Source organism: Homo sapiens, chromosome 8, assembly GCF_000001405.40.
Source record: "Homo sapiens chromosome 8, GRCh38.p14 Primary Assembly".
Lineage (NCBI taxonomy): Eukaryota > Metazoa > Chordata > Mammalia > Primates > Hominidae > Homo > Homo sapiens.
The window spans coordinates 88,148,107-88,164,639 of NC_000008.11; the positions used below are offsets into that span (position 1 = coordinate 88,148,107).

Below are 16,533 nucleotides of genomic sequence, written 5' to 3' on the forward strand. Positions count from 1 at the left end.
TTTAATTGTTATGATTACATTTTATTCTTACTATTGCATTTCTAAGGTTCTGTTTCTCAGCTCTTCTTGGTTCCTTTTCATAGTCACTTGATGTCTGCTCAATTCTGTGATTCCATTTTTTCCTTTTTAAAGACATCCTGCATTGAAGTTTTAAAAGATATCCTATTTTAATATTATGTATCTTAATTTCATAAATTCAGTATCTGAAATCCTGGAGATTAATCTATTGTTTAGAGCTGATTCTCATTCATGATAATGTTTCCTTCAGTGTTAGTGATCTTTGCTCCTAAACTTCTATTTGCATGATAGCCACCGGTGAAAATAGCTGGGTGCCTAAATGCAGTATGTTTCCTCTAGAGGATACATATTTGCTTATGCAGGGAGCTGTGTATGTATGTGTATCATTTTGTCCACATCCAAGTGCAGTATTTTAACGCGGGAGCTTCAGATTCAATTTGCTCACCTTGCCCTTGAACTAAGGTTTGGTCTCTGCATTTCACACACGCTCACCACTCAAAACTCTAGTTTTAGCTCACTGTTTTACTGATCATTTGGAGATATCCTTACTGAATGTGATGTCAAAATATTCAATAAAAATTGTACATTATTGCTTATCTATTTCTTTAGTAGTAAGAAGAATCTCTGGAATATTTTGTCTTCCAAAAGTAACCATTCCAAGAGTTTTCTTTTAAAATCTCTACATGTTACTTGTTAAAATCAGTATCAGAAATACGTGTATTATGGGGAGGAGCCAAGATGGCCGAATAGGAACAGCTCCGGTCTACAGCTCCCAGCGTGAGCGACGCAGAAGACGGGTGATTTCTGCATTTCCATCTGAGGTACCGGGTTCATCTCATTAGGGAGTGCCAGACAGTGGGCGCAGGCCAGTGGGTGCGCGCACCGGGCGCGAGCCAAAGCAGGGCGAGGCATTGCCTCACCTGGGAAGCGCAAGGGGTCAGGGAGTTCCCTTTCTGAGTCAAAGAAAGGGGTGACGGACGCACCTGGAAAATCGGGTCACTCCCACCCGAATATTGCGCTTTTCAGACGGGCTTAAAAAACGGCGCACCACGAAACCATATCCCACACCTGGCTCGGAGGGTCCTACACCCACGGAATCTCGCTGATTGCTAGCACAGCAGTCTGAGATCAAACTGCAAGGCGGCAGCGAGGCTGGGTGAGGGGCGCCCGCCATTGCCCAGGCTTGCTTAGGTAAACAAAGCAGCCGGGAACCTCGAACTGGGTGGAGCCCACCACAGCTCAAGGAGGCCTGCCTGCCTCTGTAGGCTCCACCTCTGGGGGCAGGGCACAGACAAACAAAAAGACAGCAGTAACCTCTGCAGACTTAAATGTCCCTGTCTGACAGCTTTGAAGAGAGCAGTGGTTCTCCCAGCACGCGGCTGGAGATCTGAGAACGGGGGGACTGCCTCCTCAAGTGGGTCCCTGACCCCTGACCCCCGAGCAGCCTAACTGGGAGGCACCCCCCAGCAGGGGCACACTGACACCTCACACGGCAGGGTATTCCAACAGACCTGCAGCTGAGGGTGCTGTCTGTTAGAAGGAAAACTAACAAACAGAAAGGACATCCACACCAAAAACCCATCTGTACATCACCATCATCAAAGACCAAAAGTAGATAAAACCACAAAGATGGGGGAAAAAACAGAACAGAAAAACTGGAAACTCTAAAAAGCAGAGCGCCTCTCCTCCTCCAAAGGAACGCAGTTCCTCACCAGCAACGGAACAAAGCTGGATGGAGAATGACTTTGATGAGCTGAGAGAAGAAGGCTTCAGACGATCAAATTACTCTGAGCTACGGGAGGACATTCAAACCAAAGGCAAAGAAGTTGAAAACTTTGAAAAAAATTTAGAAGAATGTATAACTAGAATAACCAATACAGAGAAGTGCTTAAAGGAGCTGATGGAGCTGAAAACCAAGGCTCGAGAACTACGTGAAGAATGCAGAAGCCTCAGGAGCCGATGCGATCAACTGGAAGAAAGGGTATCAGCAATGGAAGATGAAATGAATGAAATGAAGCGAGAAGGGAAGGTTAGAGAAAAAAGAATAAAAAGAAATGAGCAAAGCCTCCAAGAAATATGGGACTATGTGAAAAGACCAAATCTACGTCTGATTGGTGTACCTGAAAGTGATGCGGAGAATGGAACCAAGTTGGAAAACACTCTACAGGATATTATCCAGGAGAACTTCCCCAATCTAGCAAGGCAGGCCAACGTTCAGATTCAGGAAATACAGAGAACGCCACAAAGATACTCCTCGAGAAGAGCAACTCCAAGACACATCATTGTCAGATTCACCAAAGTTGAAATGAAGGAAAAAATGTTAAGGGCAGCCAGAGAGAAAGGTCGGGTTACCCTCAAAGGGAAGCCCATCAGACTAACAGCGGATCTCTCGGCAGAAACCCTACAAGCCAGAAGAGAGTGGGGGCCAATATTCAACATTCTTAAAGAAAAGAATTTTCAACCCAGAATTTCATATCCAGCCAAACTAAGCTTCATAAGTGAAGGAGAAATAAAATACTTTACAGACAAGCAAATGCTGAGAGATTTTGTCACCACCAGGCCTGCCCTAAAAGAGCTCCTGAAGGAAGCGCTAAACATGGAAAGGAACAACCGGTACCAGCCGCTGCAAAATCATGCCAAAATGTAAAGACCATCGATGCTAGGAAGAAACTGCATCAACTAACGAGCAAAATCACCAGCTAACATCATAATGACAGGATCAAATTCACACATAACAATATTAACTTTAAATGTAAATGGACTAAATGCTCCAATTAAAAGACACAGACTGGCAAGTTGGATAAAGAGTCAAGACCCATCAGTGTGCTGTATTCAGGAAACCCATCTCACGTGCAGAGACACACATAGGTTCAAAATAAAAGGATGGAGGAAGATCTACCAAGCAAATGGAAAACAAAAAAAGGCAGGGGTTGCAATCCTAGTCTCTGATAAAACAGACTTTAAACCAACAAAGATCAAAAGAGACAAAGAAGGCCATTACATAATGGTAAAGGGATCAATTCAACAAGAGGAGCTAACTATCCTAAATATATATGCACCCAATACAGGAGCACCCAGATTCATAAAGCAAGTCCTGAGTGACCTACAAAGAGACTTAGACTCCCACACATTAATAATGGGAGACTTTAACACCCCACTGTCAACATTAGACAGATCAACCAGACAGAAAGTCAACAAGGATACCCAGGAATTGAACTCAGCTCTGTACCAAGCGGACCTAATAGACATCTACAGAACTCTCCACCCCAAATCAACAGAATATACATTCTTTTCAGCACCACACCACACCTATTCCAAAATTGACCACATAGTTGGAAGTAAAGCACTCCTCAGCAAATGTAAAAGAACAGAAATTATAACAAACTATCTCTCAGACCACAGTGCAATCAAACTAGAACTCAGGATTAAGAATCTCACTCAAAGCCGCTCAACTACATGGAAACTGAACAACCTGCTCCTGAATGACTACTGGGTACATAACGAAATGAAGGCAGAAATAAAGATGTTCTTTGAAACCAACGAGAACAAAGACACAACATACCAGAATCTCTGGGATGCATTCAAAGCAGTGTGTAGAGGGAAATTTATAGCACTGAATGCCCACGAGAGAAAGCAGGAAAGATCCAAAATTGACACCCTAACATCACAATTAAAAGAACTAGAAAAGCAAGAGCAAACACATTCAAAAGCTAGCAGAAGGCAAGAAATAACTAAAATCAGAGCAGAACTGAAGGAAATAGAGACACAAAAAACCCTTCAAAAAATCAATGAATCCAGGAGCTGGTTTTTTGAAAGGATCAACAAAATTGATAGACCGCTAGGAAGACTAATAAAGAAAAAAAGAGAGAAGAATCAAATAGACACAATAAAAAATGATAAAGGGGATATCACCACTGATCCCACAGAAATACAAACTACCATCAGAGAATACTACAAACACCTCTACGCAAATAAACTAGAAAATCTAGAAGAAATGGATACATTCCTCGACACATACACTCTCCCAAGACTAAACCAGGAAGAAGTTGAATCTCTGAATAGACCAATAACAGGAGCTGAAATTGGGGCAATAATCAATAGTTTACCAACCAAAAAGAGTCCAGGACCAGATGGATTCACAGCCGAATTCTACCAGAGGTACAAGGAGGAACTGGTACCATTCCTTCTGAAACTATTCCAATCAATAGAAAAAGAGGGACTCCTCCCTAACTCATTTTATGAGGCCAGCATCATTCTGATACCAAAGCTGGGCAGAGACACAACCAAAAAAGAGAATTTTAGACCAATATCCTTGATGAACATTGATGCAAAAATCCTCAATAAAATACTGGCAAACCGAATCCAGCAGCACATCAAAAAGCTTATCCACCATGATCAAGTGGGCTTCATCCCTGGGATGCAAGGCTGGTTCAATATACGCAAATCAATAAATGTAATCCAGCATATAAACAGAGCCAAAGACAAAAACCACATGATTATCTCAATAGATGCAGAAAAAGCCTTTGACAAAATTCAACAACCCTTCATGCTAAAAACTCTCAATAAATTAGGTATTCATGGGACGTATTTCAAAATAATAAGAGCTATCTATGACAAACCCACAGCCAATATCATACTGAATGGGCAAAAACTGGAAGCATTCCCTTTGAAAACTGGCACAAGACAGGGATGCCCTCTCTCACTGCTCCTATTCAACATAGTGTTGGAAGTTCTGGCCAGGGCAATCAGGCAGGAGAAGGAAATAAAGGGTATTCAATTAGGAAAAGAGGAAGTCAAATTGTCCCTGTTTGCAGACGACATGATTGTTTATCTAGAAAACCCCATCGTCTCAGCCCAAAATCTCCTTAAGCTGATAAGCAACTTCAGCAAAGTCTCAGGATACAAAATCAATGTACAAAAATCACAAGCATTCTTATACACCAGCAACAGACAAACAGAGAGCCAAATCATGAGTGAACTCCCATTCACAATTGCTTCAAAGAGAATAAAATACCTAGGAATCCAACTTACAAGGGATGTGAAGGACCTCTTCAAGGAGAACTACAAATCACTGCTCAAGGAAATAAAAGAGGATACAAACAAATGGAAGAACATTCCATGCTCATGGGTAGGAAGAATCAATATAGTGAAAATGGCCATACTGCCCAAGGTAATTTACAGATTCAATGCCGTCCCCATCAAGCTACCAATGACTTTCTTCACAGAATTGGAAAAAACTACTTTAAAGTTCATATGGAACCAAAAAAGAGCCCGCATCACCAAGTCAACCCTAAGCCAAAAGAACAAAGCTGGAGGCATCACACTACATGACTTCAAACTATACTACAAGGCTACAGGAACCAAAACAGCATGGTACTGGTACCAAAACAGAGATATAGATCAATGGAACAGAACAGAGCCCTCAGAAATAACACCGCACACCTACAACTATCTGATCTTTGACAAACCTGAGAAAAACAAGCAATGGGGAAAGGATTCCCTATTTAATAAATGGTGCTGGGAAAACTGGCTAGCCATATGTAGAAAGCTGAAACTGGATCCCTTCCTTACACCTTATACAAAAATCAATTCAAGATGGATTAAAGATTTAAACGTTAGACCTAAAACCATAAAAACCCTAGAAGAAAACCTAGGCATTACCATTCAGGACATAGGCATGGGCAAGGACTTCATGTCCAAAACACCAAAAGCAATGGCAACAAAAGCCAAAAGTGACAAATGGGATCTAATTAAACTAAAGAGCCTCTGCACAGCAAAAGAAACTACCATCAGAGTGAACAGGCAACCTACAAAATGGTAGAAAATTTTCACAACCTACTCATCTGACAAAGGGCTAATATCCAGAATCTATAATGAACTCAAACAAATTTACAAGAAAAAAACAAACAACCCCATCAAAAAGTGGGCAAAGGACATGAACAGACACTTCTCAAAAGAAGACATTTATGCAGCCAAAAAACACATGAAAAAATGCTCATCATCACTGGCCATCAGAGAAATGCAAATCAAAACCACTATGAGATATCATCTCACACCAGTTAGAATGGCAATCATTAAAAAGTCAGGAAACAACAGGTGCTGGAGAGGATGTGGAGAAATAGGAACACTTTTACACTGTTGGTGGGACTGTAAACTAGTTCAACCATTGTGGAAGTCAGTGTGGCGTTTCCTCAGGGATCTAGAACTAGAAATACCATTTGACCCAGCCATCCCATTACTGGGTATATACCCAAAGGACTATAAATCATGCTGCTATAAAGACACATGCACACGTATGTTTATTGCGGCATTATTCACAATAGCAAAGACTTGGAACCAACCCAAATGTCCAACAATGATAGACTGGATTAAGAAAATGGGGCACATATACACCATGGAATACTATGCAGCCATAAAAAATGATGAGTTCATGTCCTTTGTAGGGACATGGATGAAATTGGAAATCATCATTCTCAGTTAACTATCGCAAGAACAAAAAACCAAACACCGCATATTCTCACTCATAGGTGGGAATTGAACAATGAGATCACATGGACACATGAAGGGGAATATCACACTCTGGGGACTGTGGTGGGGTGGGGGGAGCGGGGAGGGATAGCATTGGGAGATATACCTAAGGCTAGATGACGAGTTAGTGGGTGCAGCGCACCAGCATGGCACATGTATACATATGTAACTAACCTGCACAATGTGCACATGTACCCTAAAACTTAAAGTATAATACAAAAAAAAAAAGAAAAAAAAAAGAAATACGTGTATTATATATCTATTCTAGGTTGTAAAATTCTGCTTTTCTTATGGCAGTATAGATCATTAATATTTTCATTTAAATTTTACATAATGCTAAGTCTTTCCCTAGGTTTCTATCAAATATCTGATAATAGCATGATCAACAAAATGTTTGTTGAAGGATGAGTATGTGAAAATACATAATATCAGACTTCTGTGTTAACATCACATTTTATACAAATACTGAATGTTTGGTCCAAATTTTGTTTCTATCTTTATATTATGTTACTACTAAATCACAGTAAGTGTAATTCAGGACACATGATTTCTAAAACAAATATTTATAAGGAATACTTTAAAACTACAGATACAATTTAATAATGCAAAGGACATGCATGTAATTAGAATATATACAAAATATTATGTCTTCTATTTTCTTCTATTGTCTAGAAATTTGCATAGTAGGGGTAAAAACAACAGTTTTATTTTTTAGTCCTTTGGGAATAATTTTTTTTCCTGCATAGTGATATAAAGAATCTTTTTCTTTACTTACAGGATATATGTATTTATGGATCTGATTTTATTAATTTTGCAGTGAATAAAATGAGTTCTGAATTGCACACTACTGTCTCATTTTAGAATTGGATATTTTTGCTATTATCTGTTTGCTTATGTATTTTGCTTTAATTTTCCTACTCTTCCACCATCCTTTGAGAGAATCTTGCATTCTTAAGCTGGATTTATTTACCAGATCTTCAATATCTATTCTTTATCCTTGGCTTTCATATCATTTTATCTCTTCATACTTTCCTAGAAATGGCTTACCAAGATTTTCTTCCACATGACAGATTCAGTTTGTACAGTAATAACAGGCTTTTGTTTCCTGTTCCATAGCAAGCTTTTAATGGATGTTCTGAGTTGTTTCCAATATTGTTTTTCTGGTTTTCTTGATAAAATACTTTCAGTGACAGCCTTTTATTCCTGAGTCTTCAAGTAGATGTTCCTTTTCCTTGATTCTTCAGTATCCTTTTAATGGTATCATTCTGTTATTACGACTACCTAGCCTTAGGCAAGTCAACAAATTTTCTGCCTCAATTCCCTTGCAAAATGGAAGTAATTACACTATTTTACAAATTTGTTATGAGGAATAAATGAGTTAAATACACAAAATTAATTTAGAATTGTGTTTGGAACATATTAAATGTGCACTTAAATTAGCACTTGATTTTATTAATTGTTTTCTTCTTTATGCATCTTTGATTAAGGCTGATGATAACCCATAGAGAGGCTTTTTATAATATCTCCTACTTTCTCTACTTTTTTTTAACTTGCTGGTCAAATAATCTTTTCAATTAAAATCTGGAAAGCAAGCTGATATTCCATGGTCTTAGGTCAATTCCCATTGCTCAGGACACATGCATCTGGTACGTACAGCTTTACTGAACAGAGGTGGAATCTTCCTTATGCCCACAGTCTTCTTTTCTGATGCATTAAATCAATGGCAAAGCTACAATCTCCACTGTGGATTATAATAAGGTCTATTTCTGCTGCTTCCATGATATGCAGTCAACAGACTTAGGGAGGAGGGCGGGGGTTCTGGCAATTCTTGATTTCAACTAAAGAAGAGAGTTATAAATTAAATGTTGTTGTTAATAGCTAGTGTTGTTTACATTGTAAGAAATTTACTAAAATTGTAGTATGTTAGGTTTGATAGTGGTATGGTTGTAATTCTGCAAAAAAAAGTTACAAAACTAAAGTAAAAAGCTGTTATTAATCTTAGATAATTTAAGCAATAAGGCTATTAAATCATTAATTCAGACCAATTGGATTTTTTTTTCAGAAACTTAAAGACATTGTCTATATTGAAATAAAGGGATGAAATTTGAAACTTTGATTTCATTTTGTCTTGTTGATGTCTAGATTTAAAGACAAAAACAATTTAAAGATGAATTAGAAGGAAAATTTCTACAGAGACTATGTAAGAGAAGAGAAATAACAGTAGCTAAATAATGGATAATAGGGCAAAATATGTATGAATTATGATTAAGCAACTTACCAAGAGATTCAATGTATATATAAAATCCAAGTAGTACTGATTTACTTCTCAACATATTGTTGCAGCAGACATGGACTAGCTGTTCATTAAACCTGTCACCTTTCTCCTGCCTTCCTTGTGATTAGATGTGATCATAGTATTGCACTCTAGTGCAAACAGGGCAGAAATGGAACAGTTTAGTAGAATAGTTGGCCCTCCCTATCCATGGCTTTTGCATCTATGCAGTCAATCAACCATGGATTGAAATATTTGAACAAAAAAAATACACGGTTGCATCTGTACCAGATATGTACAGACTCTTTAACTCTTGCCCTTATTCTCTAAAAAATTACAGTATAACCACTATTTACATAGCATTTACCTTGTTATAGGTAGTATAAGTAGGCTAAAGATGACTTAAAACATAAAGGAGAATGTGCACAGGTTATATGCAAATATTAAACCATCTTATATAAGGGACTTGAGCATCTGTGCATCTCGGTGTCTGCAGGGAGTCCTCCCGTTCCCCAAAGATACCAGGGGATGGCATATAAATCCCTTACATGAGCAAATTTATCAACTGCTGCCTGGATGTTGACACCTGAGGCAACTTCCGAAGTCATGTGTTGATGCTAAGCCTTCATTATTCTTGGTGTCTCTGATAGAGTGTTTAGACAGAGCTCCTCTATCCCACCACAGCGGCAAGAAATAAAATCAGTTGTGTTAAGCCATAGGAATTTCTGGTTTCATCTGCTTCATTTTATTTTATCTTTTTATTATACTTTAAGTTCTAGGGTACATGTGCACAATGTGCAGGTTTGTTACATAGGTATACGTGTGCCATGTTGGTGTGCTGCACCCATTAACTCGTCATTTACATTAGGCATATCTCATAGTGCTATGCCTCCCCCATCCCCCCACCCCATGACAGGCCCTGATGTGTATTTTTCCCCTTCCTGTGTCCAAGTGTTCTCATTGTTCAATTCCCACCTATAAGTGAGAACATGCAGTGTTTGGTTTTTTGTCCTTGCAATAGTTTGCTGAGAAGGATGGTTTCCTGCTTCATCCATGTCCCTACAAAGGACATGAACTCATCATTTTTTATGGCTGCATAGTATTCCATGGTGTATAGGTGCCCCATTTTCTTAATCCAGTCTATCATTGTTGGACATTTGGGTTGGTTCCAAGTCTTTGCTATTGTGAATAGTGCCACAATAAACATACGTGTGCATGTGTCTTTATAGCAGCATGATTTATAGTCCTTTGGGTATATACCCAGTAATGGGATGGCTGGGTCAAATGGTATTTCTAGTTCTAGATCCTTGAGGAATCGCCACACTGTCTTCCACAATGGTTGAACTAGTTTACACTCCCACCAACAGTGTAAAAGTGTTCCTATTTCTCCACATCCTCTCCAGCACCTGTTGTTTCCTGACTTTCTAATGATCGCCATTTTAAGTGGTGTGAGATGGTATCTCGTGGTTTTGATTTGCATTTCTCTGATGACCAGTGATGATGAGCACTTTTTCATGTGTCTGTTGGCTGCATAAATGTCTTCTTTTGAGAAGTGTCGATTCATATCCTTTGCCCACTTTTTGATGGGGTTGTTTTTTTCTTGTAAATTTGTTTGAGTTCATTGTAGATTCTGCATATTAGCCCTTTGTCAGATGGGTAGATTGCAAAAATTTTCTCCCATTCTGTAGGTTGCCTGTTCACTCTGATGGTAGTTTCTTTTGCTGTGCAGAAGCTCTTTAGTTTAATTAGATTCCATTTGTCAATTTTGGCTTTTGTTGCCATTGCTTTTGGTGTTTTAGTCATGAAGTCCTTGCCCATGCCTATGTCCTGAATGGTATTGCCTAGGTTTTCTTCTAGGGTTTGTATGGTTTTAGGTCTAACATTTAAGTCTTTAATCCATCTTCACTTAATTTTTGTATAAGGTGTAAGGAAGGGATCCAGTTTCAGCTTTCTATATACGGCTAGCCAGTTTTCCCAGCACCATTTATTAAATAGGGAATCCTTTCCCCATTTCTTGTTCTTGTCAGGTTTGTCAAAGATTAGATGGTTGTAGATGTGTGGTGTTATTTCTGAGGGCTCTGTTCTGTTCCATTTGTCTATATCTCTGTTTTGGTACCAGTAACATGCTGTTTTGGTTACTGTAGCCTTGTAGAATAGTTTGAAGTCAGGCAGCATGATGCCTCCAGCTTTGTTCTTTTGGCTTAGGATTGTCTTGGCAATGTGGGCTCTCTTTTGGGTCCATATGAACTTTAAACTAGTTTTTTCCAATTCTGTGAAGAAAGTCATTGGTAGCTTGAGGGGGATGGCATTGAATCTATAAATTACCTTGGGCAGTATGGCCATTTTCACAATATTGATTCTTCCTATCCATGGGCATGGAAAGTTCTTCCATTTGTTTGTGTCCTCTTCTATTTCCTTGAGCAGTGGTTTGTAGTTCTTGAAGAGGTCCTTCACATCCCTTGTAAGTTGAATTCCTAGGTATTTTATTCTCTTTGAAGCAATTGTGAATGGGAGTTCACTCATGATTTGGCTCTCTGTTTGTCTGTTATTGGTATATAAGAATGCTTGTGATTTTTCACATTGATTTTGTATCCTGAGGCTTTGCTGAAGTTGCTTATGGGGTTTCTAAATATACAATCATGTCATTTGCAAACAGGGACAATTTGACTTCCTCTTTTCCTAATTGAATACCCTTTATTTCTTTCTCCTGCCTGATTGCCCTGGCCAGAACTTCCAACACTATGTTGAATAGGAGTGGTGAGAGAGGGCATCCCTGTCTTGTGCCAGTTTTCAAAGGGAATTCTTCTAGTTTTTGCCCATTCAGTATGAGGTTGGCTGTGGGTTTCTCATAAAAAGCTCTTATTATTTTGAGATACGTCCCATCAATACCTAATTTTTTGAGAGTTTTTAGCATGAAGGGCTGTTGAATTTTGTCAAAGGCCTTTTCTGCATCTATTGAGATAATCATGCGGTTTTCGTCGTTGGTTCTGTTTATATGCTGGATTACGTTTATTGATTTGTTGTTTTTTTTTCAAATTATTTTATTTTATTTTATTATTATTACACTTTAAATTTTAGGGTACATGTGCACAATGTGCAGGTTAGTTACATATGTATACATGTGCCATGCTGATGTGCTGCACTCATTAACTCGTCATTTAGCATTAGGTATATCTCCTAATGCTATCCCTCCCCCTTCCCCCAATCCCACAACAGTTCCCAGAGTGTCATGTTCCCCTTCCTGTGTACATGTGTTCTCATTGCTCAAGTCCCACCTGTGAGTGAGAACATGCGGTGTTTGGTTTTTTGTCCTTGCGATAGTTTACTGAGAATGATGATTTCCAATTTCATCCATGTCCCTACAAAGGACATGAACTCATCATTTTTTATGGCTGCATAGTATTCCATGGTGTATATGTGCCACATTTTCTTAATCCAGTCTATCATTGTTGGACATTTGGGTTGGTTCCAAGTCTTTGCTATTGTGAATAGTGACGCAATAAATTTACAAGAAAAAAACAAACAACCCCATCAAAAAGTGGGCAAAGGACATGAACAGACACCTCTCAAAAGAAGACATTTATGTAGCCAAAAAACACATGAAAAAATGCTCACCATCACTGGCCATCAGAGAAATGCAAATCAAAACCATGATGAGATACCACCTCGCACCAGTTAGAATGGCAATCATTAAAAAGTCAGGAAACAACAGGTGCTGGAGAGGATGTGGAGAAATAGGAACACTTTTACACTGTTGGTGGGACTATAAACTAGTTCAACCATTGTGGAAGTCAGTGTGGTGATTCCTCAGGGATCTAGAACTAGAAATACCATTTGACCCAGCCATCCCATTACTGGGTATATACCCAAAGGACTATAAATCATGCTGCTATAAAGACACATGCACACGTATGTTTATTACGTTTATTGATTTGTGTATGTTGAACCAGCCTCGCATCCCTGGGATGAAGCCCACTTGATCATGGTGGATAAGCTTTTTGATGAGCTGCTGGATTAGGTTTGCCAGTATTTTATTGAGGATTTTTGCATCGATGTTCATCAGGGATATTGGTCTAAAATTCTCTTTTTTTGTTGTGTCTCTGCCAGGCTTTGGTATCAGGATGATGCTGGCCTCATAAAATGAGTTAGGGAGGATTCCCTCTTTTTCTATTGATTAGAATAGTTTCAGAAGGAATGGTACCAGCTCCTCCTTGTACCTCTGGTAGAATTCGGCTGTGAATCCGTCTGGTCCTGGAGTTTTTTTGGTTGGTAGGCTATTAATTATTGTCTGAATTTCAGAGCCTGTTACTGGTCTATTCAGAGATTCAACTTCTTCCTGGTTTAGTCTTGGGACGGTGTATGTGTCCAGGAATTTATCCATTTCTTCTAGATTTTCTGGTTTATTTGCGTAGAGGTGTTTATAGTATTCTCTGATGGTAGTTTGTATTTCTGTGGGATCAGTGGTGACATCCCCTTTATCATTTTTTTATTGCGTCTATTTGATTCTTCTCTCTTTTCTTCTTTATTAGTCTCTTGCTAGCAGTCTATCAATTTTGTTGATCTTTTCAAAAAACCAGCTCCTGGATTCATTAATTTTTTGAGGGGTTTTTTTGTGTCTCTATTTCCTTCAGTTCTTCTCTGATCTTAGTTATTTCTTGCCTTCTGATAGCTTTTGAATGTGTTTGCTCTTGCTTCTCTAGTTCTTTTAATTGTGATGTTAGGGTGTTAATTTTAGATCTTTCCTGCTTTCTCTCGTGGGCATGTAGTGCTATAAATTTCCGTCTACACACTGCTTTAAACGTGTCCCAGAGATTCTGGTATGTTGTGTCTTTGTTCTCGTTGGTTTCAAAGAACATCTTTATTTCTGCCTTCATTTCGTTATGCACCCAATAGTCACTATTCAGGAGCAGGTTGTTCAGTTTCCAGGCAGTTGAGTGGTTCTGAGTGAGTTTCTTAATCCTGAGTTCTAGTTTGATTGCGCTGTGGTCTGAGAGACAGTTTGTTATAATTTCTGTTCTTTTACATTTGCTGATGAGTGCTTTACTTCCAACTATATAGTCAATTTTGGAATAAGTGTGATGTGGTGCTGAGAAGAATGAATATACATCTCCTTCCTTTATTAACAACTCTATATTATATGCATTTTAATGTTCATGATCCATTTATATGTTTTTGTAATACTAACATAGTGACATATTTTTGTGAATGTGACTATACCAAATTTTCTGCTACTTTCCAACTGCACATAAGGATCTAAAAATTAATAACCAAGTAGAGACTGCGCAGTAATCATGTAAGGCTATGTAACTGAAAGGTTTTAAAAAAGTCAGTACTATCAAACTTTTGATTACCAGTGTTGTAAAATGAAATAGACTCAGTAAAATGAAGCTCATTCCAGGAAAAAAGGAAAAAAGTCATGTTTTTAAGAACAAACATATATAAATCCTCTGTAATGGGTGTGAAAGCCGAATTATTGAGAGAGTTCGTTCTCCAGTTTTAAAACCTGATAAGAAAAATGTAGTAGAGTTAATATTTTTAGAATTTAAAATCTTAATAAGTTATCTTACTTTAAGGATGAGTTAAAGTCCTTGACTGTCCATATCAAGTCCTTCCCTTTTCAAAAACTCGAGGATAGATGAATTTAGACAGTATTCCCACAGTTGGTGGTACTGACTGATAGGCATCTTCGTAAATATCCAGTTGGTATCTGATCTTCAGTACTGTAGGAGGGGCCTGGTGGAAGGTGACTGGATCATTGGGGCAGATTTGCACTTTGCTGTTCTTGTGATAGTGAGTGAGTTCTAACGAGATCTGGTTGTTGAAAAGTGTGTAGCACTTTCCCTTCACTCTCTGTCTCTCTGTCCTCCCACCATGTGTAGATGTGCTTGCTTTCCCTTAGCCCTTCCACCATGATTTTAAGTTCACTGAGGCCTCCCCAGTCATGTCTCCCATACAGCATGTAGAACTGTGAGTCAATTAAATATCTTTTGTTTATACATTCTCTTGTCTCAGGTAGTTCTTTATATCAGTGTGAGAACAGACTAATGCAGTATTACCTCTTTCTTTCCTCAAATATCAAAGTTCAAATTTTGTAGGCCTCTAAGAAACATTATATAGCAGTGCAGCTGTAAAATGAGCAGGAAAGGTTGGGAAGGCAAACCTTAGGCACACCTGTGCAGACGTAAACCTGCTGAAGGCTTAGGTTTACTTCTACACAGGTGTTTTCTGTAGTATGGCACCAAATGGACATGTCAGTTACAGAAAGCTAACTCTCCAAGGTCAGCTTAAGTCCTGTCCGTTGACTCAAGTATCACACCATGAACACATTTAACTTAAATTAGGTGTATTCAGGAATGAGTGGGTTTGGATGCAGATGTCAATCACTTCACAGTGAATGATGAATTTAATTTAACGGTTTTGATGTCTCAGATGACATCTTTATCATAATTTGTCTCTTTTTGTTTTTTTGACAGCCTGCTACCACAGCGTTGATAACCTTCCTGGTTATCTCCTTATGTTAGGCAGTGAACTTCCTGACAGTAAGCAGCGTAACTGCAATGTATTCTTTTTAAAGAATTGCAACTACGTGGTAAAATAGGATATACCTCTAGATATTATTCTGTCATAAGTTTTATATATTATTTTAATAGATAACCTGCTTTGCTTGGAGTATCCGTTTAAAATTATATTACTTCTGTAGATGCTTGTCTAATTAGGAAGAATCTTTGTGATATGTTTGTGTTTACATTGATAGCACCATTTTAACTTTAACCATAGACAAGGAAATAATGTCCTATTGTTGCTCAAAATAAATCTTAACATTTTGCTGGACTTAAATTTTCCAAGTCTCATTCAGGCAATGTATATCTTTCAAAACCACTATCATGATACATATTTTCTATTTTGAATTAATTTGCATGTTTTAAAATAGTTAATGATGTTAACTGTTTTGCTGATTCATTCCACAAAAATAAAAACTCTTAAAAAAGGCATTATTTGTATTAGGGTTGTGTATATAGGTGTGTGTGAATATGTTTATTTTAATAAAACTATTTTGTAATTCACTTAATGGTCTTTAGCTAGAATTTTCAAAAGGTATGACTATTAGCAAATTGATAGGAAAGTAGATAACAATGAAGTAAGGGTTACTGGCAGCCTAAGACACTGTTTATCTCTTTTAAGGTAGATAGAATGCAAATTGCCTTCATTAGCTGAGCAATGTGCTGTGGAAAATGTGCTGGGTACTTATCAAGAGGCTCTTTCATTTGCATTTTTGCTAAATAAACAAGCTGTTCTGTTTCCCAGCTCTCAAGAGCTCTGAATAGAAGAGAAAGAAAGTAATTCAGGTAAGTAAGCCAGGGGGCATTCCAGGACTAGATTAAAGAAAAAAAAAAAGTTTATCCATGAAGATGTCAGATTTGTGCCATGCATATTTGTGATACAAAAATAGTTTCACACATAGTTAGAATCGAGGATGTACAAATGAATTAATTCTCCCCATAGCCACCAGTACCACAAGCAAAGATAGAGGCTGTTCTTTTGATAAATGATCAATACTTCAGCCTGACACTACTCTAGCTGCCCTGCTGTTGCTGGTTAAAAGTTTGAATTTCAATTAAGCAGTAAATCTTTTTGGCATTACATCTCTAACAGTCAATTAATGTCTCCCTAATCTCTTGAAATTCTGAAACACTATTATTTTGCAGGGTCCTTTC

General features: G+C 38.2%; 1 protein-coding gene across 1 annotated transcript in view, besides 1 other annotated feature; it reads right to left on the reverse strand.

Annotated features, from left to right (window-relative positions):
• MMP16 (matrix metallopeptidase 16) overlaps positions 1–16,533 on the reverse strand; it is a 295,473-nt gene that overhangs the window by 116,096 nt on the left and 162,844 nt on the right. The window lies entirely within an intron of this gene.
• Positions 1,106–1,790: an enhancer, noted in NCBI's record as "H3K27ac-H3K4me1 hESC enhancer chr8:89161441-89162125 (GRCh37/hg19 assembly coordinates)". NCBI's record gives its function as "activates a minimal SCP1, AML or CMV promoter by ChIP-STARR-seq in naive H9 embryonic stem cells {active_cell/tissue: H9 hESC(naive)}" and the evidence as "EXISTENCE:reporter gene assay evidence [ECO:0000049][PMID:30033119]".